The 27,504-nt window shown below is 41.2% G+C and overlaps 1 protein-coding gene and 1 long non-coding RNA gene across 8 annotated transcripts in view; one reads left to right on the top strand and one right to left on the bottom strand.

Annotated features, from left to right (window-relative positions):
* The window catches only part of BTBD9 (BTB domain containing 9), a 471,479-nt gene that overhangs the window by 382,792 nt on the left and 61,183 nt on the right, over nucleotides 1-27,504 (top strand). For all 7 annotated transcript variants that reach the window (NM_001099272.2, XM_047418145.1, XM_047418146.1 and 4 more), the window contains one exon: nucleotides 622-729. In NM_001099272.2, the coding sequence (NP_001092742.1) occupies nucleotides 622-729 (108 nt within the window). The remainder of the gene's footprint in view (nucleotides 1-621; nucleotides 730-27,504) is intronic.
* LOC105375045 (uncharacterized) lies at nucleotides 10,522-14,837 on the bottom strand. The gene is made up of 2 exons (XR_926772.4): nucleotides 13,499-14,837; nucleotides 10,522-10,601 (listed from the first exon to the last, which is right to left on the bottom strand). It is a non-coding gene; the product is annotated as an uncharacterized LOC105375045 (long non-coding RNA).

Below are 27,504 nucleotides of genomic sequence, written 5' to 3'. Positions count from 1 at the left end.
GAAGCCAGGAGTTCAGGACCTGCCTGGGCAACATAGTGAGACTGTGCCTCTACCAAAAAAAAAAAAAAAAAAAAGAAGTGTGCAACTATAGTCCCAGCTACTCAGGAGGCTGAGGTGGGAGGATCACTTGAGCCTAGGAGTTGGAGGCTACAGTGAGCCTCCACTGTTTACACAAGTGATTACTCCACTGATCACACCACTGCACTCCAGCCAGGGTGACAGAGAAACACCTTGTCTCTAAAAATAAAAATAAAAATCAACTCGAAATTACAGTTTCTCCCATGAGCAGTGGTCAGCCGAGCCAACTGGAGAGGAGAGCTAGAAGAAGCTGGAAAGGTGATCTGGGGACATCTCTCTACTAAACCAGTATAAAGAACTTTGCCACCAGTGGGGCAGAGCCTGCCTGGGATTGGGGGACTTGTGAAAAGAACTAAAGATAAAAAGCCTCTCACTGCAGACTGACTCTGCCTGTTCTCTTCATACTTTTTTGGGATTCACCTTCTTTGTCCAGTCCTAGAAATGTGCTGAACAAAGGAGGTGGGTGGGAGGGATATGCCCACAACCTAAAGAAACAACCAGTTAAAACATTTACAGCAATCTTATGTTTTTCCCTTTGTTCAGGTTACTACTTTGGGATTGTGATGATCGAAGCTATAGCTACTACGTTGAGGTTTCTACCAACCAGCAACAGTGGACCATGGTTGCTGACAGAACTAAAGTCTCCTGCAAGTAAGTTGTGTCTTTTCAGGAATTTATTCCTATTGAAAAGACAGTCTTCCCAGTGGATTGGGAGGCTCAAAAGAAAATTCATAGAATCGCCAAATTACATTCTTATTTGGAGGTGGAAAACACACTCCAGTGATCTTCTCTTCAGTTTTGACTATTAAATACTTATATGAAATTTACTTGATGTCACCAAACAGGGTTTCTCTATTCTGTGGTGTGAATTTGACTCACACTTTTGAAAATGACATGAGTGCCTAAATAGCGAAAAAACTTTCCTTATGCAATCCTCTCTCAGACCCCCCACCCCGCCATGCCCACCATACCCCACACTACTTTTTTTTTTTAACACTTTTAAGTTCTAGGGTACATGTGCACAATATGCAGGTTTGATACATAGGTATACATGTGCCATGTTGGTTTGCTGCACCCATCAGCTCATCATTTACATTAGGTATTTCTCTTAATGCTATCCCTCTCCTACCCCCCCAACCCCACGACAGGCCCCAGTGTGTGTGATGTTCCCCACCGTATGTCCAAGTGTTCTCATTGTTCAATTCCCACCTATGAGTGAGAACATTTTTTAGGATTGTTTTCTTCCTTAGAGAACTTTGCTGAAGCAATACATACTTCAGTAGTTATTATGGGGCTCTATCCTATTCCCCACACTCATAGCATTCTCAGGGCTAGCGTCAATATTTATTTATCTCATCTCGTTAACTATGCTGTTACTCAAACTAAGGAAAGCCTTGTACCTTATTTCTCCACATGCAAACAGAGGCATTTAATGCATATGGCACTGGGGCTGTTTAGACTTGTCTGCTTGCAGCAGAAGATAGGAGGAAGGAGTCTGTGGGTTCTGAGCAGCCTAGCATCATGGTACATGAAAAGAGATCAGTACCTCTTTGTGTAGAGCCAGAATCTCTAAGAGGCAAGGTGGAGCAAATGCGTTTCTCTTTTTATTTTTCTTTTTAAAATTGATATATAATTCACATACCATAAAATTTACACTTTTACAGTGTACAATTGAGTGGTTTTTAGTATAGTCACAGTATTGTGCAACCATCACTGCTTTCTAATATTCCAGAACATTTTCATCACCCCAAAAAGAAACATCTTCCCCATTAGCAGTCACTCCCCATTTCCCTCCAACTCTCCCAGCCCCAGCATCCAATAATCTACTTTCTGTCTTTTCTTTATGGATTTGCATACTCTGGACATTTCATATAAATGGAATCATATAGTATGTGACCTTTTGTTCCTTGCTTCTTTCACTTAGCATAGTGTTTTCAAGGTTCATCCGTGTTGTAGCATATATCTGAATTTCATTTTTTATGGCTGAATAGTATTCCATTGTGTGCATATACCACATTTGTTTATCCATTCTTCAGTTGATAGACATTTGAGTTGTTTCCACTTCTTGGCTATCATGAATAATGCTGCTATGAACATTCCTGTACAAGTTTTTATGTGAACATATATTTTCAATTCCTTTGGGTATATATCTGAGAGTAGAATTGCTGGGTCATCGGATAACTCTGCGTTTAACTTTTTGAGGAACTGCCAAAATTTTTCACAGCAGCTGCACCATTTTACATTCCCACCAGCAATGGCTGAGGGTTCTAATTTTTCCACATTCTCACAAGCACTTGCTATTGCCCATCTTTTTGACCATAGCCATCCTAGTAGGGACGAAGTAGCATATCATTATGGTTTTCATGTGCATTTCCCTCATGGCTAATGATGTTGAGCATCTTTTCATGTGCTTACTTGGGGTGGGGGCAGGGTCTCACTCTGTTGCCCAGACTGGAGTGCAGTGGTGCAATCAAGGCTTACTGTAACCTCAAATTCCTGGGCTCAAGTGATCTTCCCACCTCAGTCTCCCAGGCAGCTGGGACTATAGCTGCATGCCACTGTGCCCAGCTAATTGTTTTTTTTTGTTTGTTTGTTTGTTTGTTTGTTTTTGTAGAGACAGCACCTCACCATATTGCCTAGGCTGGGCCAAGATTTCTTAACAGTATTAATGATGGCTTGTTTGATGCAATGTCTGACACCATCACCATTATTATTGTAGTAATTATCAGCATATATATATTGGTTAGGTTAACTCTTGCTACTGTAACAAATAAGCTTCAGTATTTCCGTGGCTTAATACAACAGTTTATTTCTCAGTCATGGGACAGTCAGTGTGTGTGTTCCTAGTTAAGTGATTTTCCCAGAAGTGACAGGAACCGAGGCAGCTTCTTTCTTGTTGTTCTGCCATCTAGGTCCTCCTCAGCATCAGCCACATTTAGCTGGCAGGAGAAAGAACAGAGAAGGTACACCTAGTTCTGAAAAGCCTTGCTCTAGGGGTAGCATACATGCCTTCCACTCACATGCCACTGAGATGAACTAGTCACATTGACATACTAGATGCTACTATGGCTGGGAAATGTAGTCAGTTCCTGGTTGGGTAGCCACTTCCCAGTGGAGCACAGATCTTGTTACCATCTCAGCCTCTTCTTCCAGAAGCAGAGCTGAGATTTAAATCCAGCTTCTTGCCACTATACCATATTGCCTCTTAGGACTCAAAACACTGCTAAAGAGGACTGTACCGAGCTAGATGATGAAAAGGGGGAAACAAAGTGGTTAATTTATCCCAAGCTCCTGGAACCCTTTTTATACAATACGAGGGCCTCCACGGCCCATGAACAACTATGCATTTGTCTTTCCAGAGTCTTTGCTTATTGGGTCCACAGCTCCCAGACCAGACCTTGTACTTCCTCAAAGCTTGTCATCTTGTACATGTCTTACCCACCACAGGTCTCTTTTGTCATTTATTGTTGTAAACTGGATTCCTCTTCTCTTTTATGTCCCTCTGTTAAAGGTTGACATGGTTTGGCTCTGTGTCCCCACCCAAATCTGATCTTGAATTATAATCCCCACATGTTGAGGGAGGGACCTGTAATCCCCATGTGTTGAGGGAGGTGACTGGATCATGGGGGCAGTTTCCCCCATGCTGTCCTTGTGATAGTGAGTGAGTTCTCATGGGATCTGATGGTGTTAGAAGTGTTTGGAAGTTCTTCACTCTTCTCTCTCCTGCTGCCTTCTGAAAAAGGTGCTTGCCTAACCTTCGCCTTCTGCCATGATTGTAAGTTTCCTGAGGCCTCTCCAGCCATATGGAAGTGTGAGTCAATTAAAGCTCTTTGTTTATCAGTTACTCAGTCTTGGATATTTCTTTATACTAGTATGAAAACGGACTAACACAAAGGTGCTATACAATGTGGGTGTTTTGTTGTTGTTGTTGTTGTTGTTGTTGTTTGAGACAGAGTCTCACTCTGTCGCTCAGGCTGGAGTGCAGTGGCATGAGCTCGGCTCACTGGAACCTCCGCCTCCCAGGTTCAGGTGATTCTTCTGCCTCAGACTCCTGAGTAGCTGGGATTACAGGTGTGTGCCACTGCGCCAAGCTAATTTTTGTATTTTGTATTTTTAGTAGAGACAGGGTTTCACCATGTTGGCCAGGCCAGTCTTGAACTCCTGACCTCAGGTGATCCGCCCACCTTGGCCTCCCATAGTGCTGGGATTACAGGCATGAGCCACAGTGCCCGGCCCAGTGTGGGTTTTTAACAAGAGCTGATTGACTAACTGTTGACCAGGTAGGTGTCATATTCATTTTGTATTTAGTTAAATGGGGACTTTTTTGATTTCAAAGTCTTGTTCACTCATTAGATCCTCTTCTAGTAGCTTTGCATTAAATTACCAACATCTTTTTCTCTCTTTAAATTTTTTTTCATTGGTGGATTTAAATAATTTATATGTTTTTAACTTTGTATAGCACTTAGATGCGATAGCATTGTTTTACAAATTAATAAATAAATAATACATTAGAAGAACAAAAGTAGTAATAAGAAGGCAAATATGCCTGTTAACCTTGTAAGAATCAATGGAACCAGAGGTTATGATTTTATGTTTATAGGCGTAACTTGAATGTATTGTACCTCCCTTTTTAAAGTTAGGTCTTAAGAAATATAGAAGATATGTAAATGATAAAAGGCAAAAGGTTTTTCTTTTTAACTAATATGCTACAGTGCAGACCTCAAGAGAGGACTCTATTAGTTTCAAGAATTGTAGTCTGCTCTTTATTGAAACAGAGTGCGTGCGGTTATAAATGAAATTATATGGAGTTTTGAAAGATCATAGCTCCGCCTCTTGATAGCATTCTACCTCGTCAAGAAATCAAAACATAGATTTTTGCTGTCCTCTGAAAAATCCCTGGGAAATAAGATTCTCCAGTGTCTCTGTTAGTCTCTCTGCTCCAGGAGTGGGATATTTTCCTCCATAGTTCTCCTAAGTCTGCTATAGTTGGAGCTTCTCTTGGTTTGTTTTCAGGATAAGCAGTCATTTTCTATTATAGATAACTCCATTTTTATAGTGACTAATTTTTTAAAATTACATTTTACCCCTCTTTCTTCATACAGTGTAATCCTGTACCCTTTGACCTGCACCCTTTATTTTAAAAGCTCTCACTTTTTTTTTTTTTTTTTGAGACAGAGTCTCACTCTGTCACCCAAGCTGGAGTGCAGTGGCGTAATCTTGGCTCACTGCAGCCTCCGCCTACTGGGTTCAAGTGATTCTCCGGCCTCAGTCTCCCAAGTAGTTGAGATTACAGGCATATGCTACCACGGCTGGCTAATTTTGTGTATTTTTAGTAGAGATAGGGTTTCACCATGTTGGCCAGGCTAGTCTTGAACTCTTGACCACAGGTGATCCATTCACCTCGGCCTCCCAAAGTACAGGCGTGAGCCACCGCACCTGGCTGAAATATTTTTATAGTTGAGAAGTTTTAAAAACTAAAAAAATGGTAGAAAGCAGCCTGGCCGCAATGGCTCACACCTGTAATCCCAGCACTTTGGGAGGCTAAGATGGGTGGATCACCTGAGGTCAGGAGTTCGAGACCAACCTGGCTAACATGATGAAGCCCTGTCTCTACTAAAAATACAAAAATTAGCTGGGCCTGGTGGCACGTGCCTGTAAACCCAGCTACTCAGGAGGCTGAGGCAGGAGAATTGCTTGAACCCGGGAGGCGGAGGTTGCAGTGAGCCAAGATTGTGCCACTGCACTCCATCCTGGGCGACAGAGCGCAAGCCCATCTTTAAAAAAAAAAAAAAAAATCACACCTCTTTTATTAACTTAACAACTTTACTAACTCCTTGATATAAAACAAATGAGAAATTTAGCTCATTTAACCACTCCTCATTTTTGTTATGTTTTTTTAGTTCTGTTAGTATTTATCTTTTAAAATTAAACAATATACTTAAACCTCTATTATTATTATTATTATTTTTTTTTTTTCTGAGACATAGTCTCTCTCTGTCGCCCAGGCTAGAGTGCAATGGCGCGGTCTTGGCTCACTGCAACCTGTGCCTCCTGGGTTCAAGTGATTCTCCTGCCTCAGCCTCCTGAGTAGCTGAGATTACAGGCACACGCCACTACACCCAGCTAATTTTTGTAGTTTTAGTAGAGGGGTTTCACCAACAGGGTTTCCCTACGTTGGTCAGGCTAGTCTCGAACTCCTGACCTTGTGATCCCCCCACCTCGGCTTCCCAAAGTGCTGGGATTACAGGCGTGAGCCACCTCGCTCGGCCTAAACTTCTGTTTTTTAATCCATCAGTTATAGACAATATTTCTCGACTCTTTACTACGTTGATGAAGAAATTACCACCCACTACATTTCCCTCATTTTTCCCATTCTACTTCTCATCTTCTGTTAGCTGCTTTACTATATTGACATTGTGATAGTTATTTTTTGTTCTGTAACTTATAGTTAAACCATCTATATGTTAACTATAAATTGATCCTGAAAAGGGAAAAACACTAAGAACTCATTAAAATATAATGATCATATAAACATTGTTCATGACAGATCTAGTAATTGGTTGGATCTAGAGTTAGGGAAATATGTCAGTAAACTTGTTCCCCTCTTGGAAGAATTGTACTGTTCTGATGAAACAGATTAGATTTTCTTACAAGTGCTCAGAATTATTCCACATGTTAAATAGCTTCCTATTAGACAGCTTTTTGTTTTCTTGAAGTTCCTGATTAGTTTTTTCCGTTGCAGAAGCTTCTAAAGCATACTGTTTGTTCATTGGTTGATTTTGAACAGATTGTTTATGTCTGCAATCCTAAAATTTCTTCTTCTTTCCTATCATTAGTAACACTGTTTCCTCAATTTCATTTTCTTTTTGTGGAATGTGGGTAAACAGTTTTAAAAAAACCCCTTTCCCTTTTCTTAAGATATTGACCTTGGGCCCCTGTTACTTTTCTAGACCTGTTCCCCTGAAAACCTGATGGTAGTGGAATGTCTGCTGCGTTATAAGCAACATTGCTTATGATTTTAAAAAATTACCCCTGAATGGTAAATTGCATCTGGCCTGGGAGAACTGTAAATATCTGGTCAGAAACTATAGATCCTTGTGCTTCCCTGAGTGCAGAGACTTTTGTAATTGGGCTTATTCCTTGTAATTCTGGGATCTGTGCTTATGGAGCTGTCACAAGAAGTATTAGTTTCTATTTGGAATGTGAAGCTTCTAAGCCAGAGTAGCTCCACATTTACCCGTTGTTGAGTCTTATATACTCTTTTTTTTTCCTTGAGTCTTATATACTTTTTTTTTTTTTTTGATTCTTAATGCTCTTATTTGAGCTGTCACCTGCAGGCCAAAAAGAATAGCTCCCAGACAGTTGTGTTGACTGCTACAAAGACTCCCGAAGGGAAGAAATACCTGGTGCTGTCCTGGGGGCTTGCTGTGTTTCCCATTCTGTGTCCTAGGTGAATCTGAAGCCAATTATGGCTTGTTTGGGTCTGTTGAGCCTAAACATTTAGTTGAAAAGACTGCTATAATCCCAGCACTTTGGGAGGCTGAGGCAGGAGGATTGTTTGAGGCCAGGAGTTCAAGACCAGCCCCAGCAACATAGTGAGACCCAGTCTCTACCAAATAAATAAAATGTGAAAAAAAAATTAGCCAGATATCATGGCACACACCTGCAGTTCCAGCTACTTAGGACGCTGAGCGGGGAGGATTGCTGAAGCCAGGAGTTCGAGGTTACAGTGAGCTAAGATCACACTACTGCACTCCAGCCTGGGTGACAGAACAAGAGCCTGTCTCAAAAAAAGAAAGAAAGAAAGAAGATCACTCATGGCGATTGCAGAGAACAAATCTATAAGTAATTTTTTTCAGAAAAGGGATATAGAAAACAAATTTTCAGAACCCCAGCATATCTGAATCATAGTTTGACTGGGTATAGAATTCAGTTTTTTCAGAAGTCTGACAGCTTGGATTTATTGCCCTCTAGTATCTAATGTTGCAGATGAGAAATCTGATGTCAGTCTGACTCATGTTCTTTGCAGTAATTTATTTTTCTCTATAGAAGCCTTTAGGATATTCTCTTCACCTCGGTAGTCTCAAATTTCACAGTGACATGGCTGGATGTGGGTCATTTGTCATTCATCCTGCTCAGTTTGCTTCGGTATGGAAATCTGCCCAGTTCTCCTCGATTTATAAATGAGTAATATTTCATGTGCATATCATTTTCTCGAAATTCACCAAGATTTTTCATTTACTAATGTCCTCTCCAATTTGCAACCTTTTTGAATGTATTCTCTTTGCATTTCTTTGATGGCATGTCAGTGGTTTCCGGGAAGGGAGAGCGAACTGTGCCTACAATGTCAGCCATCTTGGACCTGAATTCCCAAAAGCACCACGGCCTGTGCTGACTTGTAGTCAGCTGTTGATAGTCCCCAGTGACCCCAAGTCATTTTCCTTACCTTTCGTGTGCTTGGCTGTGCCTCTGCCATGTTATATAGCTGTCTTGTTTCCTGTCAGAGTATACTCCCTCACGTATTGTCCTCATTTGCATTCATTTTTTAAACAATTTCTTTGCTTTGTCATGGTCCCGTTGAATAGTAATTCTGTCTGCCAAAGTATTAGTGACTTCAGCCATCATCTATCCAAAACTGTGCCCCTCGCAAACATTTTGGCAAATACAAACGATTAGATAAAAAGAATTAGGTAATGAAAACTTTCTTTTTCCACTTGAGAATTCTGTAGTCCTAATATGGAACTACCTAGTCTTTCTAGCTTTTAGCTTCTAATTTTATCACAAACTTTCTATTTCCTGCCAGATTTATCATCTAAATTCCCTTCTGAGTAAATTTTTCCCCCAATCTAGGTGTTTATTAAAAATGATGCTGCAAAGAGTTTTTTTAATAACTTAAGGAAATACCTAAGATTTTTAAAAAGCGTGTACAAAATTATAGAAGTGTTATCATAAGTAGAAAGAATTACGGAAGAAGAAAGCCAAAAGGAAATATGCCAAAATATTCATAATGGTCGACTTTGTATAAGGGATTACGGAAATTATTTCTAATTTTCAACATTTTTCTGACCAATTTACATGTATTTCTTTTAAAATCTAAAAACACTTTACTTGAAAAAAAAAATTTTTTTTTTGCTAGAGCCATAAGTGTTTTATGGATGCTTGTCCTTGCCATTATTTGAGTAGCATATGCTGGCAGAGTGGCATGGTTTATTCACTGCCAGCAGTAAATCAACAAAATTAAGTGCTATACATAGCAATATCCCAGCAGCTCTTCAGAACCTTGCCATTTAGCCCAAGCACAAAAGCTGTGTTTCCCTGGAAAGGACACTCCAGCTACATTTTCCTTATGCTTCTCTCCATGGGCTCCTTAAAGCCCGCTTCTCTGAGAGTACTTTCTTCTGCCTTTCCCTGGGACACCCAAAGTTCATTCCCATCTGAGTTTGCCCTCTCCAAGGGCCCTGGCCTACTTGGCAGGTTAGAGCACCTCCTTGGAGCAGGCAATCTCTACAGCAACCTAATGTTGGGAAGCTTCTCCCCTGTGCCTTCCCTGAGAAGCACCTTGACTGTCTCCCTGTCACCTGGAAAGACATGTGTGGAGTCCACCCATCTGCTGCCTGGTCTTCAGCATGATTGTATTCATATCCGAGAAGCATTGTCTGTCCCCTTGCTGAATGCACTGCCACTTAGTCCTGGGATCTGTTTCTGTATCTGCTATTTATTCCCTAGGAATGGTAGAAAGAGGAAAATATTTCTTCTTCTAAGTGCTGCAGTGGCTGAGGACAACAGGATAAATTAAAGGTGGAGAGTTATAGCCTCAGTAAAGTCTTCCAAAGTATAGCAAGATTGAAAAATGGTACATTTAAATCTAGAGACAATTTACTTTGCCTGTGATTTTTTTTTTTTTACATCTTCTTTGCCATTGTTAGTGACAATGTTGAGAAAGGTTTGATATTTGTTTTTTGCCTGCTTTGTTTCTTAATCTCACACTTAACAAAAACTTTGGGTTGGTTCCAGGAGGTCACTGCTAACCATGTGATTTGGAGTTTTGTGTAAAGAACTTGATGTCACAAATAAGATGCAACAGAAAGAAAGCAGGATATAAAGGAGGAAATGTCTTCCTCATTGATACTAATGATGATGAGACATAGTTCATAGTTGGGTGACGTGTTAGTTTCCAAGAAGATTGAAGCACTTGACTGTCGCATAAATCCCATATTGGTAATAACAGACAGGGCTGTTGTCCTCAGATTTTTCTGCCCTACCAGGTTGGAGGAGTATGTTTGCTTGTTCCTTCTAGAAGCGTGAACCAATTAATGAGTTCTGGTTGTGTAATTGTCACTTTTGAAATGCTCGATGAAGATTTTATTTTTCTTTTTTCATACTTAATTCCGTTTTTCTACACAGCATTTGACAGTAATGAAAAAAGCCAGTCATGTTCTTTTCTGTTTTTTTTTTTTAAAGGGCAAACATTGGTGTTAATTTTGTCAAGAGCTTTAGAACTTGAACAATGAAGAAACATGTACCTGTAAGAGGAATGGTTTCAAAAAATGAAAAATGAAGAAAATAGCAGATTTTAGACAATACACACACACACACACGTACGTGCACGTGCGCCAAGTCTGACCCTAGGCAGATCCTTGTGTTAATGATGAGATATCAGCAGGCTTGCCCTATAGAAGTCATCTATACGTTAGGCCACACTTGGAGACACCAGTTACTCACACTTGTTTATGGGGTTATGAAGTACCTAAAGCTGATGCTTATTTTAGAATAGAAAATAGCAATAAGGAGTCAGCCAGTCATACCTGCACATTTAAAGGGGACTTATCTTTTGTATTGCAGGAAGTTTTTATTATAAATTTACCCAAACATTGGGAGGCATGTGGAAAGTAGATTTTGATGCTAAGTATGTGAATTGCCTGAGTTCTAAATTTAGAGCTGCCAGCAGATCCTGTGGACCCCCAGTGGGAGGCTCCTCTCTACCCAGAACATTTGGAAGTTAAAGGAGCTAGAAGGAAATGAAGTCCTCTTGGGTAGCAAATGATCAGGAAGAAGAATCTGAGAGCTCCTATTTCCTTCTTTCTTACTTAACCCAGGAGCCACGTTATTCTGTGAGGGTAATAATTTTTTCCATGCCTGTTATAAAAAAAATGAAGCATACCTCAATAAAACTTTCTCAGTGAGCTGTGTGAGCACACAAAATGTACATGGTCAGAAATTTTTATTTTATTATGGAAATAACTTTCTTATTAATGTTATATTCCAAATGATTAAAAATAAATCAAGATCACATTTAGTTCACCTACCATCATCACTTACCTGTTCCACTCCACTCTACTGACTGACCCCCCCACATTCCCTCTGTGCCCTCCCATGAGTTTACTTACTATAGGCAGGTGGCACTTTTCAAGCACAACTCTAGTATCGTCCTGCTTAGGACCCTGCACTGCTTCCTGCTGCTCTCTGAATCAAGAACAGAATTCTTTGCGTGGCCTAGAGTGCCCTGCACAATCTGGCCCCCTGCCTCTCCATACTCCCTCTGCATCCCTCTCCCTGTTCCCATCTCCCTGGCATCCTCTGTTTTCCCACCATCCATCATGCTCTGTCCTCACACAGAGCCTTTGCGCATGCCATGCTGGTCTCTGTCTGGAGCCCACCCTCTGCCCTTTGTCTCATTAACCACCCCCACTTACCCTTCTCAGCTCAAGGGCCACTTTTCAGGAAAGTTTGCCCTGACCACCCATCTTGATCAAATCACTGTGTTATCCCCTCTCATAAAACCAAGCTACTTTTTTTCACAGCCCTTGTTGCAGTTTGCAATTACCCATTCATAGCATGGCTGTTAAGTTACTGTTCTTTTGCACCAGAAGGTAAGCTCCAGAGCAGGGATTTGGTGTTTTACTCACTCTTTGATCCATAGTAGTAGCCTAGCAAGCACCTAACACTTGTAGGGGTCAGTATGTACTTGATCTGAATGAATAGAAGCATGCGTGCCATTGCTCTGTCTCCAGTCACGTATGCATGTTGGTTTCATTTGTCTTGTTACTGTCTGGAGGTGTCATTGTCACAAAGCCCAATTGGGAAGTTTGCCCATTCCAGCTCAGATGCTGTCACATAAAGCGCAAGGAAGAGTTTATGGGAGAGAATAAGATTTGCCCATGGTGATGTAGTCCTTGTAAACTACACATGTGTCTTCCTAACTTCTCTTTATTAACCCATTATTGATCTGTCATCTTTGGCTCATTTATAGCATTATTCCACAAATTTTAATTCAGTATTGCCAGAGGCTCAGTTTTCTTTGGTTTTTACATCTATCATTGCCCCTCACGTTAGTGACTTGGATCCCCTGGTAACAGTTTATCACTTCAAGTTGGTTACTGGCTGGAAGTCCATTACCTTTATTTTTAACCACTCTTAGAGAGAGTAAAGTTTATTTTTATGGAGGGGCCAAGTGCTTTTAAAACTCTTTTCCAGCTGTGCCCCTTTCAGTTCAGAAATTGATTTGATTTAAAATCCCAAGTTCGTCTGGTTAATGTTTCAATTGCTTCTCTGGATTTTTAGAGTAAAAGGTTAAAAAAAAAAGCCCAAACTTAAACTCTGAAGAGGGACTCTAAACTGCCTGCCAGAGCATCACATGTACCTCTCCCAGCAGGAAAGAGTCTGTTCAACAGAACAGACCTCACTCTGGAATCCTAGAGCTCTCTGTACCTCTCATGGTCTCAGGATGGCTGCAGAGGGTCCAGCCTACCACCATCCAGAGAGGTGCTCAGTCAGCACCCTTACCATGACCAAGTCTTGATTAACCCCTCCCCTGAAATGGGTGTACAGACAAGGGACCTGCTGCACATTGTCAGTCACATGATCCCAAGGTAGGTAAGCAAACTGAGCAGCGGGCACCACAGTAACAGTCAGCATGGGCATCTGCAAAAAAAGGAAAGTAGAGCCTATTTGTTGGTCAGTGAATAAAGGTAACAGAAAGGAAAGGCATGGTCGTTTTGATCTTATTTTCTTAAAGTGACCTGCCTCAGTTTACTAAATTATAATCAGAAGTCAGCAGCCAGCCTCTGGATCTAATGAGAAGGCTCTGTTTTGGTAATTATACCATGATTGACGCTTGCTCAGCTCTATCCCAGAGAACTAAGAGGCTCGTGTTTTCTTCCTGTGTTTAAAAAAGAAGAAGGAAAAGGGCATTTTTATGAATTCAGGGGTCCAGCATGCACACAGAATCACCATTTAGCTCATTCTCTTGGCTTCAGCTGTCTCTTTCATTCATATTTTCCATTGGCACCTTCTAGAATGGTTTCTCAAACACAACTTGTCTCAAACTAAACTCATCATTGTCATTCTCCATAAAGCAGCTCCACTCCTTTGGTGTCCCTGCTTTTGTTGTTGTAGCTCCCTTCCCCTGGGCATCTCTTACCCCTTTGAGTCTTTCTTCTTTGCCCTCCACAGTCATTCAGGTGCTATATCCTTTCTGTTATACCCTTTCATCTTTTTTTTCCATTCCCATTGCCTCCATTCGTATTCAGACCTTCATACTTATTTCCTGGAGTATTTATAGTAGCTTCTAGTGAGTTTCCCTCAATACTGTTGCAGAGAATTTCTATACTCTACGTCTGTTGCTGTACTAGAGTCTAGAACACTGTTGCTAGGTTGTCGTTGCTGTGATTTCTTAATCCCTGTACAGGGACCTTCAGTGAGGAAAGCCTCCGATCCTTACCTGGGTCATCTTCTATCTCTACATGACCAGCTCTCCCTAAACATCTCATTTTTAAATATCCTGCCTCCTGTTAAACCACATGTCCAGATTTCAAATATAAAATTACCATATCTCTCTGACTCTAACCAGACTTTCTAACCTTTATTTCTGTAATTCTCTCTTTACAGTCCTTATATTCCTACTTTCCTTTCAGCCTGGCCTAATCACTATTGTTAAATGAGCCCATGCTTTAGGTAAGCTAATTATTTTTATTTGCTCTGGCTGATCTTCAAGTCTCCACCTATTCAGTGTTCCCTTCAAGACCCAGCCAAATGCTCTATGAGTTCTTCCTTGATCTTTCTCCTCCCAAACACAAGTGACTGCTCCATTATGTGAATGTCCACTGTAATTGGCATGCATATAACTTGATACATTTACTGTTTCTTGGGTCTGTTTCAGAAAAGGGAAGAAATAAGGGCCTAGTCCAGGAGAAAGGTTACTTTTTAAAAATCTAGCCATTTTTCAAGGTACATTGGGATTTATCCCCTTGGAAGTATAGGAGCAGCTTTTCCCAGAGTCATCTCTGTAGGTCTGTAGTCAAATGCACAACTTTGATTCAGTCTAATATTTGTTCAGTGACCCTAGTAGGTAGAGGCTCATACTATTAATACATTGTGAAGGAAAATTCTGAGGAGACAGGAAGACATTTCTTCTATGAAGGAACTTACAGGTTATACAGAACATTTGGGAACCATCTTGTTTGTGTACACACACACATATGCACACACAGTGTAAAATACAAAACAAGATCCTAGAATCAAACAATACTGTAACTGGTAGAAGTACCTTGGAAATCATAGCCCAAGCCTCCCATTTTACAGATGAGACAGCAGTCACAGGTGCCTTTCCCAAGTTCTCATCTAATGGCAAGCCCTGGATTAGAACTCAGGTCTCCTGATTCTGAGTCCCTTTTTCCCAGAATTTTGCATGGCCTATAAGACCACAGTAAACATGAAAAATCAGATATGTAAGTACTGTAAGTATATAAACATTATCAGAGTATGGGATGGAGTTAGGGAAATTTTTCTGAAAAGATGCATTTTGAGCCTACCCATCTGCTACTGGCTCATGTTGTGCCTGGGACGACTGGTGATTTCCCAACCCAAGGAGGCTATGAACTTCAGATTTTAAAATCACATAAAGGTACAAGTCAACTATCCACCTTCCAGAAGTATGATGAAGACTATGGATACAAAGAAATCCACCTTTATTTTTATATGATTCCCTACCTTGCTGTCAGTACTACTTCCACAGAATATTAATTTGTCCAGCCTATTAGCTGTATCATAATTCATACTTTAAAATTGGTTTTAAAAGTATAGCTTCTACACCAGTGGTCAAATCTAGATTATCTAGGGGTTCATTATTCAGGTTGTAGAGTATATTAGCCTGTTTTTCTTCCCTTTTCCTTCCTATTGCCTACTTAAAAAAAATCATTACACTGTTCATTAGGCCATTTATTAGACTGTTTCCTTCCACGAAAAGAGACTTGCATGTGTGGTTTTTTTCCCTCTGTTTTAAGCCAAGCTCTATAAAGCATATTTTCCCCACAGTTGACATTTTCTTTTCACCATCCCTTGAAATGGAATGTAAGTGAATTTCACCGTGGTGTTATAAATTATGTACTGAGTATCAGTAATAAACATTTCTTACAAAGTTCTAAAGTATAGTTTCAGAGTGGTGATCATCTGGAATTGCACACATTTACCAGCTGCTTTGGAGGGAGTTTGCGAGTGCTTTCTGCTCATACACTTTTCACTTCTTTATCCAAATTTATACAACAGTATGGAGCCCATGTAATAAACCTAAATGGAGCAAAAGAATGTTTGTATTCCTAGTAATGTGGCTTAGCAATCTTGACCTGATGAGTGGTCATCTTGTTCGGCCTTCTACCTTGAGGCAATGTTGCACATTAAATTTGTCCCAGAGAGTTCGTGGTTTTCCTCAGATGAGGAAGACTGGATAATACTGCTTGCTTCCTCATCTGCGGTTCTCAGAGCCTTAGTGTAAATTTCTGCTGTGAGGTGATTCTTAGGCAAAGGAAGATAGCATATGTTGGTACTGCTCTATTAGAGGAGAGAACTTGTTTATATCGTTCTTTTTTCCTTCCTGATTCTCTGGAGAGTTACTGAATTCTCTGTAGGATTTAGCAGTGGACATATAAGCTTAATAGAAATTCTGATGCTGGAGCTTTGAAATGTATAGTCTTTTCTTTAGGGTATGCTGAGGGTGGGAGAAGGAGGGGCTCCTGGAAGCTTGTTTGTTTGTTTCACATTTCTGAATCTTCAGAATTCATTTTTCCTAATTAAGATCAAAACCCAAATCTACATTAATCTAGTGTCAGGGTCACAGATTTAAACCAACAGGACTTCAGAGTTGGTGTTCTCGGAGCACCACTGAGCCCCTCCTATCACAGCCTCTGCCCGTTTGAGCGTGGATCTGGTAGGCTAATTGAAAGCCTCAATTGCCCTGTGAAGACAGAGCCACAATAACATTAAGAAGTAATCAAGTTTTTAGTTAGACATGGCACGTACTGTGAATCTACAATTCCAAATGCCTTCATTTTTGAATTTCTAGTCTGATTTTCAAATTTATGCCTTCACATTGCTTTAATATGGTGTTCTTACATTAATATTAATTAACTTTATGAATTTCTGAGGAGATGAGAAGGGAACACAGGGCACAATTTTCTAAGCTTTTCATTTTGGGGGATAGAACCACTGATATTTTCAGGCAGTATTTTCTTCTTTTGCCATTTCCTTAATTAAAATTATCATTCAAATACTATTGAATCATTTCCCTGCCAGGAACCCTAAACTGTAGGGCATGGGCTTATGTTAACTCAAAAGTCTGATATTTATCTAGGCATTAATTTAGTGGACATATTTTGAGCCACTGCTTTAGGTCAGGCTCTGTGCTGGGCACTTCCCTCCTCTCATGGGCTCACTAATTAAGCCTTCCCAATTGGCTCAGGACCAGCTGAGACTGAGGGGCCTTGATCCCAATGCAAATAGAGGCATTTGTGGATTCTGACACATGGAGTTAGACCAAATCTTCTCTGAGTGACTCAGTAGGGATAACATTTATGGGAGTAGGCAGCATGCTAAATCTGGAAGTACTTACTACCTAGATGGAATGGGCCTGGCCTTGGTGGATACAAGAAAATCACTCGTTCTCTCTTCAGCCTGCTGGAGGGAAGTTCAGGTGTGCCTTGAGCTCAGATCTTCCCAGAGATGGCAGGATAGCAGCCTTGCACGCTCAGCCAGTCCACTCCTTTGTTACCTTTTGTATTGCCAACAATAACCTTGGCTATCGGGAGGCTTAGTAAATTGACCGTGTTTTGTTGCACTCCTGTGCCAGTGCCAGGCTGCTCTTTCTGATAAGGTAAGTGTGACGTTCAGTTTGTGATGAGCACTTGCAGTTTCTGTAAATGTAATACTATATAATAAGCAGTAATTTTCCACTGACCCTTGAAAACAGGAAGTTTCTGTTTGGCTTTTAGTGACAGCCAAAATGTAGGTGTTTTCTCCCTCCACCAATATGATGAATTTCCAGAGGCATCTTTTTTCACAAGATAGATTATTAGCAAGTTGTTTCCTAAGCTTGACCAAAATGTGTCATGGTTAATCTTGCCTTAAAAAAGTCAAAGTCAAGTATATTGGCTCCAGAGTAGCCATTTATAATAAAATGACTATATACATTCTTAAGCTCCTTTTAGCTGTCTCCTGGCTGTGCTTTTTACTCAAGGGTTTGGTATCCTGAAGCTTAGCCCAGTAGCTTGGGTGATAAAACTGCCATGTCTCAGGTTATTGTTTTAAATTTCCTATAAGAGATTATATCTTTTTTTTTTTTTTTTTTTTTTGAGACAGAGTCTTGCTCTGTCGCCAGGCTACAATGCAGTGGCACGATCTTGGCTCACTGCAACCTCCACATCCCAGGTTCAAGCAGTTCTCCTGCCTCAGCCTCCCAAGTAGCTGGGACTGCAGACGTGCGCCACCACGCCCAGCTAATTTTTGTGTTTTTAGTAGAGACAGGGTTTCACCATGTTGGCCAGGATGGTCTCGATCTCTTGACCTCGTGATCTGTCCACCTCGGCCTCCCAAAGTGCTGGGATTACAGGGATTATGGGCATGAGCCACCGCTCCTGGCCAAGAGATTATATCTGAAGTGTAAAGTGAACTTGCACTAGATGACTTGGTGTCCTTTCCTGAGAGAGGAAGAGGGCCTTTTATGTTCTGTACTCTTCTCCCGAGTCCCACCCCATTAAGATTGAATGGAGTAACCATCCAAATGGACCCCTTCTTTCAGCCAAGGGCATTAGAAAGTTAGCCTGAAAAACTTGTTCAGGCCATGATGGAAGCAGGGGTCGGACATGTCTCATTATACCCTCTTCCCTTTTAGAATTCAGGGAAAGCTGACCAGCATTAACATCAACACAGATCTCAAGTCTGATAAGAAACATTTACAGTCTATTCTGTCTGAAACCTACTACTTGGAGGCTTCACCTGCATGATAAAACATTGGTCTCGGCCAGGCGCGGTGGCTCACGCCTGTAATCCTGGCACTTTGGGAGGCCGAGGTGGGCGGATCAACAGGTCAGGAAATCGAGACCATCCTGGATAACACGGTGAAACCCCGTCTCTACTAAAAATACAAAAAAATTAGCTGGGCGTGGTGGTGGGCGCCTGTAGTCCCAGCTACTCGGGAGGCTGAGGCAGGACAATGGTGTGAACCCGGGAGGTGGAGCTTGCAGTGAGCCGAGATCGTGCCACTGCACTCCAGCCTGGGCGACAGAGCGAGACTCCGTCTCAAAAAAAAAAAAACAAAAAACCTTGGTCTCCGCAACAGCTTACTGTAAAGCATACATTCCTTTCTGTTGATAATAACTCTCAACCAATTGCCAATCAGAAAATTTTTAATGACCTGGAAGCACCCGTCCTTGAGTTGCCCTACCCTTCCAGGTGGAACCAATGTAAATCTTACATGTATTTGATTGACGTCTCACGTCTCCCTAAAATGTATAAAACTAGGCTGTGCCCCAAATGACCACCTTGAGCACTTGTTCTCAGGACCTCCTGAGGGTTGTATCACAGGCCATTGGTCACTCATATTTGGCTCAGAATCAATTTCTTCAAATTTTTTGTTTAAAAAAGATTGAATGAGGTGCTTGCTGATTTTGTTTTGTTTTTTAAGAGACAAAGTCCTGCTCTGTCACCTAGGCTTCTAAACCTAGCCTCCGGCAATCCTCCTGCTTCCATCTCCCAGGTAGCTGGGACTATAGGCACATGCCACCACCATGCCCAACTAATTTTTCTATTTTTTTTAAATAGAGACAGGGACTCTCTTTATTGCCCAGGCTGGTCTCGAACTCCTGGCCTCAAGCAGTCTTTTTGCCTCAGCCTCCCAAAGTGCTGGGAGTAGAGGCATGAGCTACCATATCTGGCTGATTTTTTTTTTTTAAAACATTGGAAAATACCATTGAAAAGGAAACAGACAAATGCTTTACATTGTAACCCTCCCCACCTCTCTTTAAAGTCATCTGTTTATTTTTTCTTGACACTTGAAATACCATAAGATTCAGCACTTTTTTGTAAGGAATTAAGATTGTTTTTTCATCAGATTATCTTTTCTTCTTTCTGAGATATAGCTGGCATTATCTATTCATTCATTAGTTTCTGTAGGCATCTTGGTAACCATTTACTCCTATCAGATGGCTTAAGCAAGACCAGAAACTGTTGATTTTGTGATATCATGTGATTTTATGAATCATGTTGATGGGAGCCCTGGTACTTCCATGATCACCGGGGACTGCCATTTATCTCCACACAGGTGGCCTTCCTGGTACTTTGGTGCATCTGACTTGCTAAAACCAGGATATTAGTGAATGGTGGCAACTAACATGCAGGAGTTGTTTGAACTGACCTTACATTTAAGAAATTATTTTGCCCTTTTGGCACAAAAAGTTGGATTTGTTGATCAGAATGATAGATCCCCTCTCTATGTGGAGCTCTGTGTGGAGTTAGGGAGAAAAGAAAAGATAGACTACTTGCCTGTAGTCTGATTTGAAAACAACATACACCTCAAAAAGACTCTCCAATACACTGACTCTTCCTAAGTGTCACCTACAAAGCAAACTGAAGTTGAATGATTGTTTGCTTTCCGTGTCTGCTTAAAAATTTGTCCAAATCACAGACAAGTGTGCAATTTATGAAGACAAAACTAAAAAGCAAGTGAGTTGCACCTTTACAGAGTTCAGCTACTGAGCAGTGAGGTGTAGGAAAAGTGTGTGTTTGGCCTGAGATCAGGCTTCCCCTGGGCCCCTTTTGCAGTGATGCTCAGGGAAAATGCATCCTGTTCATTTGGCACAGCCATCTCTCATCTCACAGTTCTTTGTTTCCCAGATCTGAACCTGGACACAACATTCAATGACTGTGGGTTTGGGGAGCTATTGTTTTCTTCCTCCCACTGTGCCTTCCATTGAAATTTTTATTCTGCATGCGGAACTGAATCCACTCTGCACATGAAATGCACTGACCCAGGTGGAAGCAGATTTTTAATCAAATGTCATTAGAACAATCCATTTGCTGCAGAAATCTCTGGAGTCCTCATATTACTGTGCCCACATTTTCCAGTTGTTTACTGGGATTTGATTTCTAGCCCAGCATGTTTCTTTGGGATTTACTTAGATTGGCTGAATTAAATTAGGATTTATAGTTCTTGTGACCCTTTTACTTAGGAATTTTATATGGAGATATCCCCCATTACAGACCTGCGTGTGTTGGCTAACTGTCGTAATCCAAATGAGTCTTTCCTTCAAAACAGAAGTGGTTTCCCCTTCACTGGGTTTGTGCTTTGTTCTTTAGCCTCTGTTAGGATGTTGGCTATTTGGATTTCAGGTTTGGGGATGGTTTGAAATGATGTCACAGACCAGTAGTCTTTAGAAATGTCTAGGTCATATGATTTGTTAATTTTACTACAAATGAAAAGTAAAGTGGGAAATGGGAGCTCTGGAGAACTGAGAATTGTGGTTTCAGAGAGGACCTAAAATCTATAGTAGTGTTGCTAGTTCCTGGTCTCCATTGTATTTGGAAAAGGGGATGAAGAGGAGAAACGCATCTAAAAGAGGGTATGGAAAAGTAGTGTCAAAGCTGTTGCTGTTTTTATTATTTCTTAAGTGAGGCATTCCTTTCCTACATAAGAACATCTAACTTATGTTTTCTTGAAAAATAAGAGTTCTGGCTGTAAAGAGATCCAGAGTCTCAGTTTCCCGACTCTGATGTCCTGTCCCATACGCAGCCCTGTTTTCCCAGCTGATAAAGCCTACCCTTTCTACCTCGGGCCAGGGGTCTTTCATTGTCACTATGCCCAAGGGGTCTGTGCACACAACTGTACTTCAGTAACATTGGTTTCTTGTGTGTTCTATTTTATACATTTGAAAACATTCTGAGAAGGGATTCATATGCTTCACAGAGTGCCAGAGAGATCCCTGGCACAAAAAAGGGAAGATCCAAGGGTCAGCTGAATACTCACATATGAAAACCTTTGAGTAAAGCAGACATTTCAATGAAAATAGGAAGTGTCAGTTACAGATATCTCTGTTACTGTGTTATTGTGTCATTCCTTTACCTGATTTCTGTTGGTCTCCTGTGACCTTTTCCATCTGGTGTGCACCCTACATTTGGGGCCATGAGCTGCTAAGATGAGCACGTCAAGCTCATCTTTGTCACTGACCCCTCCCTATCTTAAACCTTGAAATATGGTGATCTCATTTGTTAAACTTCAGCCAGTGGTACTGGGAGCCAGATGGAGTTTGCAGCAAAACCTGAGCCCTCCTCACTAGCTCAGGTTTCAGAATCATTTCCCTCTTTGTAGCTCTGTTTGCATGTCAGCCCTGAAGGTTGGTTCTAAAAGATTGAGTCTGGGAAATGTGACCAGCCCTTGGCTTTCCTTTAGTCCTTGCTCTGACCCTCCAGTCTTGACTACCTTCTCTCAAGACTCCCATTTTACTGATAAGAAAATGCAGTGTCTACCTGCAGGAAACGTATGCAGACCTTTCTTCACTCATTCAACCCCTTTTTATCAAGTACCTACTATGAGTTCAGTACTGTGGCAGGCAAAAATCTGCCTGACCACAAAATTAAAGAGCCCACGGTGATTGGTGATTGTCAGAGTGTAAAGTGCAGGCTCGCTGTGGAACAAGAGCTGCAAACCTCCTGTGGTTTAGCAGTTACTGTGTACCCACTATGTACTAGAACTTAACTGGTGGAGGGCTCAGAGCCTGTCCCCAGGAGAAGTACAGTGTAATTGCTGGAATAAGGGGTGCATGTATGAAAGTGAAAATCTGTGTTGGAATTGTTTCTGTTTAATGTAAAATTATTTCAATCTTAGCCTTTATACTAGGGATTGTGTTATTAGACTCTTTACTAGTATTTGCCACCAGCAAGAAAAGTGTGAAATATGGCAGCATTATCTGTACATGAGTGAAGTAAAAAAGGCAAAATAAAAATCCCTGGGCTGAAAATCAGGAGGCCTGGCTCTTAGCCATGGTTCTGCCGCCGATTAGCCGAGCATCCTTGGGCAAGACGTTTACTCTCTCTGTGCCTCTGTCTCCACGTCTGTAAGATGCCATTCCTAAAACAAGGCTTGGTGCTGGGCTCCAAGGGCTGTTTTTATTAAAATAATACCGTTTATTGTTATTTTATCAGTAAAAGTATATAATAGTTATGTAAGACATAAAATATAATGGATTTACTTCTAAAGTTTCTTCTAATGTGTGTTGCCTTGACAGATGTACAGACACCCACATGCATGAATGCTGTATATATAAAATACATGTGTGAGCATTCAACTCTTCCATGTGGGGTCGAGCCAACCCTTGTAACTGCTTCTCCCCACCTCCTTAGCCCTTTGAAACTGTCCTTAACTGTCACATACCTGGGCCCAAGCAGCTGCAGGGTGATAGCTCCACCTTTAGAGCAAAGCCTGCACCCTCAGATATTCTTTGCAGAAAGTGAGAAAATAAAATAACAAACTGAAATATATTAAACACCTTGAGCTTCCTGGAGACGAAGGCTGTGACAGACATAGTTATATATTTGAAAGAAATAGAGTCATATAGAACAACAAATAGAGGTGCTGAAGCACAAGGTCAGATGAGTTTATATTTAAAGAAAGGTCAGGAAGTTAGTCTTTTCCTTCTAAAATCACAAGGTACATACCTCGTGACTGGAATCCTTTTCCTAATGAAATATTAACATCCATTAGATGTTGGGTTTGCATTAAAAATGTCTCCACATTTGTATTTTTAGCATGGACACAGTGGTATCAGTTAAAATAATTAGCCCTTGCCTGTAATATAAAAGCCTTATCTCTTTACTCTTACTTTTTTAGAAGGCAGATGTTTTAAAACTGATTTGAAAATCAAATTTGCCCTTCAGTGATTTCATTTGGAAGAAACAGAGAAGTAAACATTATAAAGAAGGCTTTTCAGTACATTATGCATGCAAATTGTGGCAGCCGAATTCAGGTTCACAAGTGGAGGTGGCTGCCTGTCCTGGTTGAGAAAGGTTGAGATGTTTAAATTAATACAAAGGTCATCAACCCTCAGATTGTGTTCTTCTGTCATTTGGTAGCAGGGCTATTGCTTCCTGTTAAACTCTACCTGCCAAAAGGTAAGCACTGAAAGGCGCTGGCAGGCCAAGTAAGGCCACAGTCATAGTGCAGTGGCTGTGTTGAAACTTCCAGGGTAGGCTGCTGCAGAGAACCTTGCTTTCTGCCCAGCCTTGTGTGCTGGATGCAGTAGAATGGGCATAAGGGGTGTGTGCTCTTTCCAGAATACCGCACTGTTAGAGAATTTGGAGGCTATGGTCACAGAAGTTAAATATGTGCCGCAAAGAACTGCTCTGATATATTATGGGTTTATCTGATATCTCTTCAAGGGTCAGGGACCATGTCTTATTCATCTTTGAATCACCACAACTTGGCACAGAGCCTGACATGTAGTAGGAGCTTAAAAATGGTTTCGTTATTTTTTTAAAAAAATAGTGAATGAATTTAGGAATGAAGGAGTAAGTAGTTATATTTTGGGAACAACTTGTCTTTTTTAAAAAATTGAATTACAACACAGATTTTGTCCATCTTATAGTGAATTAGATAAAGGTTATCACTAGGGAAGGGCAGAAAATGAGATTTAAACTAATCCAAATCAAATTCTTGCTCACTATCCTGAAGATCAAACACTTGAGCCCTCCCACAGATCTGGAAAGAAAAGGCCTCCCACCAAGGAAGCATGACCATCCTGCCTAAAATTTGAATTAAAAATCCAGTTGGCCCAGCTCCTCAGTGGGTGGATTCTGGAAAGGGATGGTTACCCAGGGTGAACACAGCATCCTCTGGGAAGGGCTTGTTGGAATCAGCCAGGTTTAGCCTGGGCTATAGGAGGAAGCCTGGCCTCTTATGTGTTACTAATCCGTGATCCAGAGAGACTCATTTAAAAAGGCCTCAGCCAGGCGCAGTGATGCACGCCTGTAATCTTAGCTACTTGGGAGGCTGAGGTGGGAAGATCGCTTGAGCCCAGGAGTCTGAAACCAGCCTGGGTAACATAGCGAGACCTTATCTTCAAAAAAAAAAAAAAAAGTTGCGAAAGGTTTATGTGAAAAAATAATAATAAAATAAAATAAATAAAAGTGAACTGTAGCTAGAAAGTCCAATAACAAATCTTTTGGGAAGATCTTTGTGCTATACTACATCTCTCTTGTATCTTTTAATCTCTTTTCTGCTGAGGCAGGCAGATCACGAGGTCAGGAGATCGAGACCATCCTGGCTAACACAGTGAAACCCCATCTCTACTAAAAATACAAAAAATTAGCCGGGCGTGGTGGCAGCCGCCTATAGTCCCAGCTACTCAGGAAGCTGAGGCAGGAGAATGGCGTGAACCCGGGAGGCAGAGCTTGCAGTGAGCTGAGATTGTGCCACTGCACTCCAGCCTGGGCAACAGAGCGAGACTCCGTCTAAAAAAAAAAAAAAAGAAAACAGAGACTATGGGACATTTCCAGACCAGGGCTGAAACTACCCTTACAAGAAGGACTGTCCATGCCAGGGAGCAGGGCAGCTCTGTGCAGTCGGAAGGCCCTCACTTTGTCCTGTTTTGTGACCATGAATACTCCAGATTATAGAACCCCTACAGCTTTTGGCTGGCAAAAGGGCCACATGCTTTTCATGGGGCTAAACTGAAACTATAGCAGAGAAACATAACTCTTCTCTGCTTTTTCCTTACAATTCCTTTGAGAAGGAGGAAGAGAGGTGTGGTAAACAGATTCCCTTTTCCCTTCTCTCCTATTTCCTGTCCCTGCCCACCCCTTCCTTATTTCTCATGGTTCTCTCTTCACAAATATGTGGCTGGATCAGGGATTACATCTGAAATGCATTTTAATTTATGTGTTCAAATGGAAAGATTTCATTTTATGGGTGAGAGAAGGGCAAAACACAGACCAGAATGCCCTGCTGTCATAGTAGGAAATTTGGTCCTGTCTTTCTCCCATGCGGCTAGGCCACAGCACTGCTGGGTGCCAGTGCAGGTTCAGGTGAGTGGGCCTGATGGCTTGGGGTTGATGAGCTGCCAGGCTCTTGATGGGCCATTCTAGCCTCTTTTATGGCCCACTTTATGTGTTGACTACTAGGTCAACAGTATGAGTTCCTACTGTAAATAGAGTCTTCTACTGGCATTGTGATGGAATTCTAAGTAAATAAAATTCAGATTTTTGAAATCAGAATTATCCTTGCCCTTAATGTTATATTGGGCAAAATTATATATAAATGAAGGAGTTAGAGACATTGCCATGAACTTTATCTGATTAAGCAGCAACTCTCTTAAGTGGTACTTTTCATATGAAAACAGTCTAATCCTGTAGCCACACAGCTGCAGGTGAGATGTTAATTCTGCACCAGCAATGTGGAGGTCTCTCATAGTGCATGGTTTTTAAGTAGCATGTCTGTGTTATCCCACATAATGCATTTCTACTACCAATTATTGTCTGACCTAACTCAATGCTGGTAATTCAATTTGATTCTTTGATGGCATCATAAAATATTGATAACAAAGTAGATAATAATGGTGGTATAAAAATGAAACCAAGAGCCATTTTTAGTAATGCAAGTTAGGTCATAGCAAATGTATTTGATTTCTCCCAATTCTATAATTCTCACCATTATGAGAATTTCTCCCAATTCTATAATTCTCACCATTCAACAAATAATAATTGAGCACTTATGAAGTCTTAGGCATTGAACAAGGCAGACAGGATCCCTACTTTCATCAGTTTACATCCTAGTAGGGGGAAATAACAGATAAATAAGGAAGTTTCAACTACTGATAAATGCCATGAAGAAAATGAAATGGAGAGGTAATTAGAGAGTGACTAGGCTGTGGTAGGCAAGAAGCAGCTACTTTAGGCCAGAAAGGCCTTTCTGAGAAAGTGACATTTGAACTGAAATAAGTGATAGATAGAAGCCAGCCTTCCAAAGCCTTGGGAAAAGAGGATCTAAGGAATAGTTAAGGCCCTGAAGAGGGAATTAACATGGTATGTGTGCAGAACAGAAGGATGGCTTGTGCTTCCCAAGCCGGTGAAGGAAGCAGAGGTTGGGATGAGATGGGATGAGGCCAGTAGATCTCCGATCATATATGACCTTTAGGTTTGGTAAGTAGTGTGAATTTTATTCTAGGAACAAGGTGGGGGAGTTATTGGAGGGTTTTAGGCAAGGGAGTAGTAAGAACTTATGTCTTTTTTTTTTTTTTTTTTTTTTTTTTGAGATGGAGTTTTGCTCTTGTTGCCCAGGTTAGAGTGCAATGTCACGATCTCGGCTCACCACAACCTCCATCTCCCAGGTTCAAGCAATTCTCCTGCCTCCGCATCCTGAGTAGCTGGGACTATAGGAACCTGCCACCATGCCCAGCTAATTTTCTATTTTTAGTAGAGACAGGGTTTCTCCATGTTGGTTCAGGCTGGTCTTGAACTCCTGACCTCAGGTGATCTGTCTGCCTTGGCCTCCCAAAGTGCTGGGATTACAGGCATGAGCCACCGCGCCCAGCTCCTTATGTCTGCTTTTTAAAGTTCATTCTGGTTGCTGTGTGGAGAACAAATCAGAAGGGGGCTAAATATGGAACTGTGAGATTAGTAAGGAAGCTGTTGCTCTAACACAGATGAGAGATGACTTGAACTAGGGCACTTACAGTGGAGATGATGAGAAGCAGCTGGCTATGGAAAATGTATTGCTGGTAGAATGGACTGGCGGTCAGGATGGGGATGAGGGAGAGGAGAGAAAGGTCTTGTTAGTGTTTCTGACTCTGTCCTTGGTCCTGAACATTTCACTCTTTTTATCAATGCCCTGAAAGGCATGCTTCTCGGGTTTCTGGATGAGACAAAGCTAGGAGGGATGACTAATGTGATAAATGACAGACATGAAATTCAAAACGATCTCTCCAGGCCCTAATGTGAGACCAAACCAACAGGATGGAATTTAATGGGGATAAATGTGATGCTCTCCATTTAGGTTCAGAAAATCAATTCTACAAGTACAGGATGGGAGCAGTCAAGCTTGAGAGAAGTTTATGGGAAAAAGAACTGTGGTTTTGATTGGCCACAAATTCAATAAGAGCTAATAGTTAGGTG

Source organism: Homo sapiens, chromosome 6 (assembly GCF_000001405.40).
Source record: "Homo sapiens chromosome 6, GRCh38.p14 Primary Assembly".
Classification (NCBI taxonomy): domain Eukaryota; kingdom Metazoa; phylum Chordata; class Mammalia; order Primates; family Hominidae; genus Homo; species Homo sapiens.
Note: the sequence above shows the minus strand (reverse complement) of the source record. Positions and strands in the feature narration are given on the sequence as shown.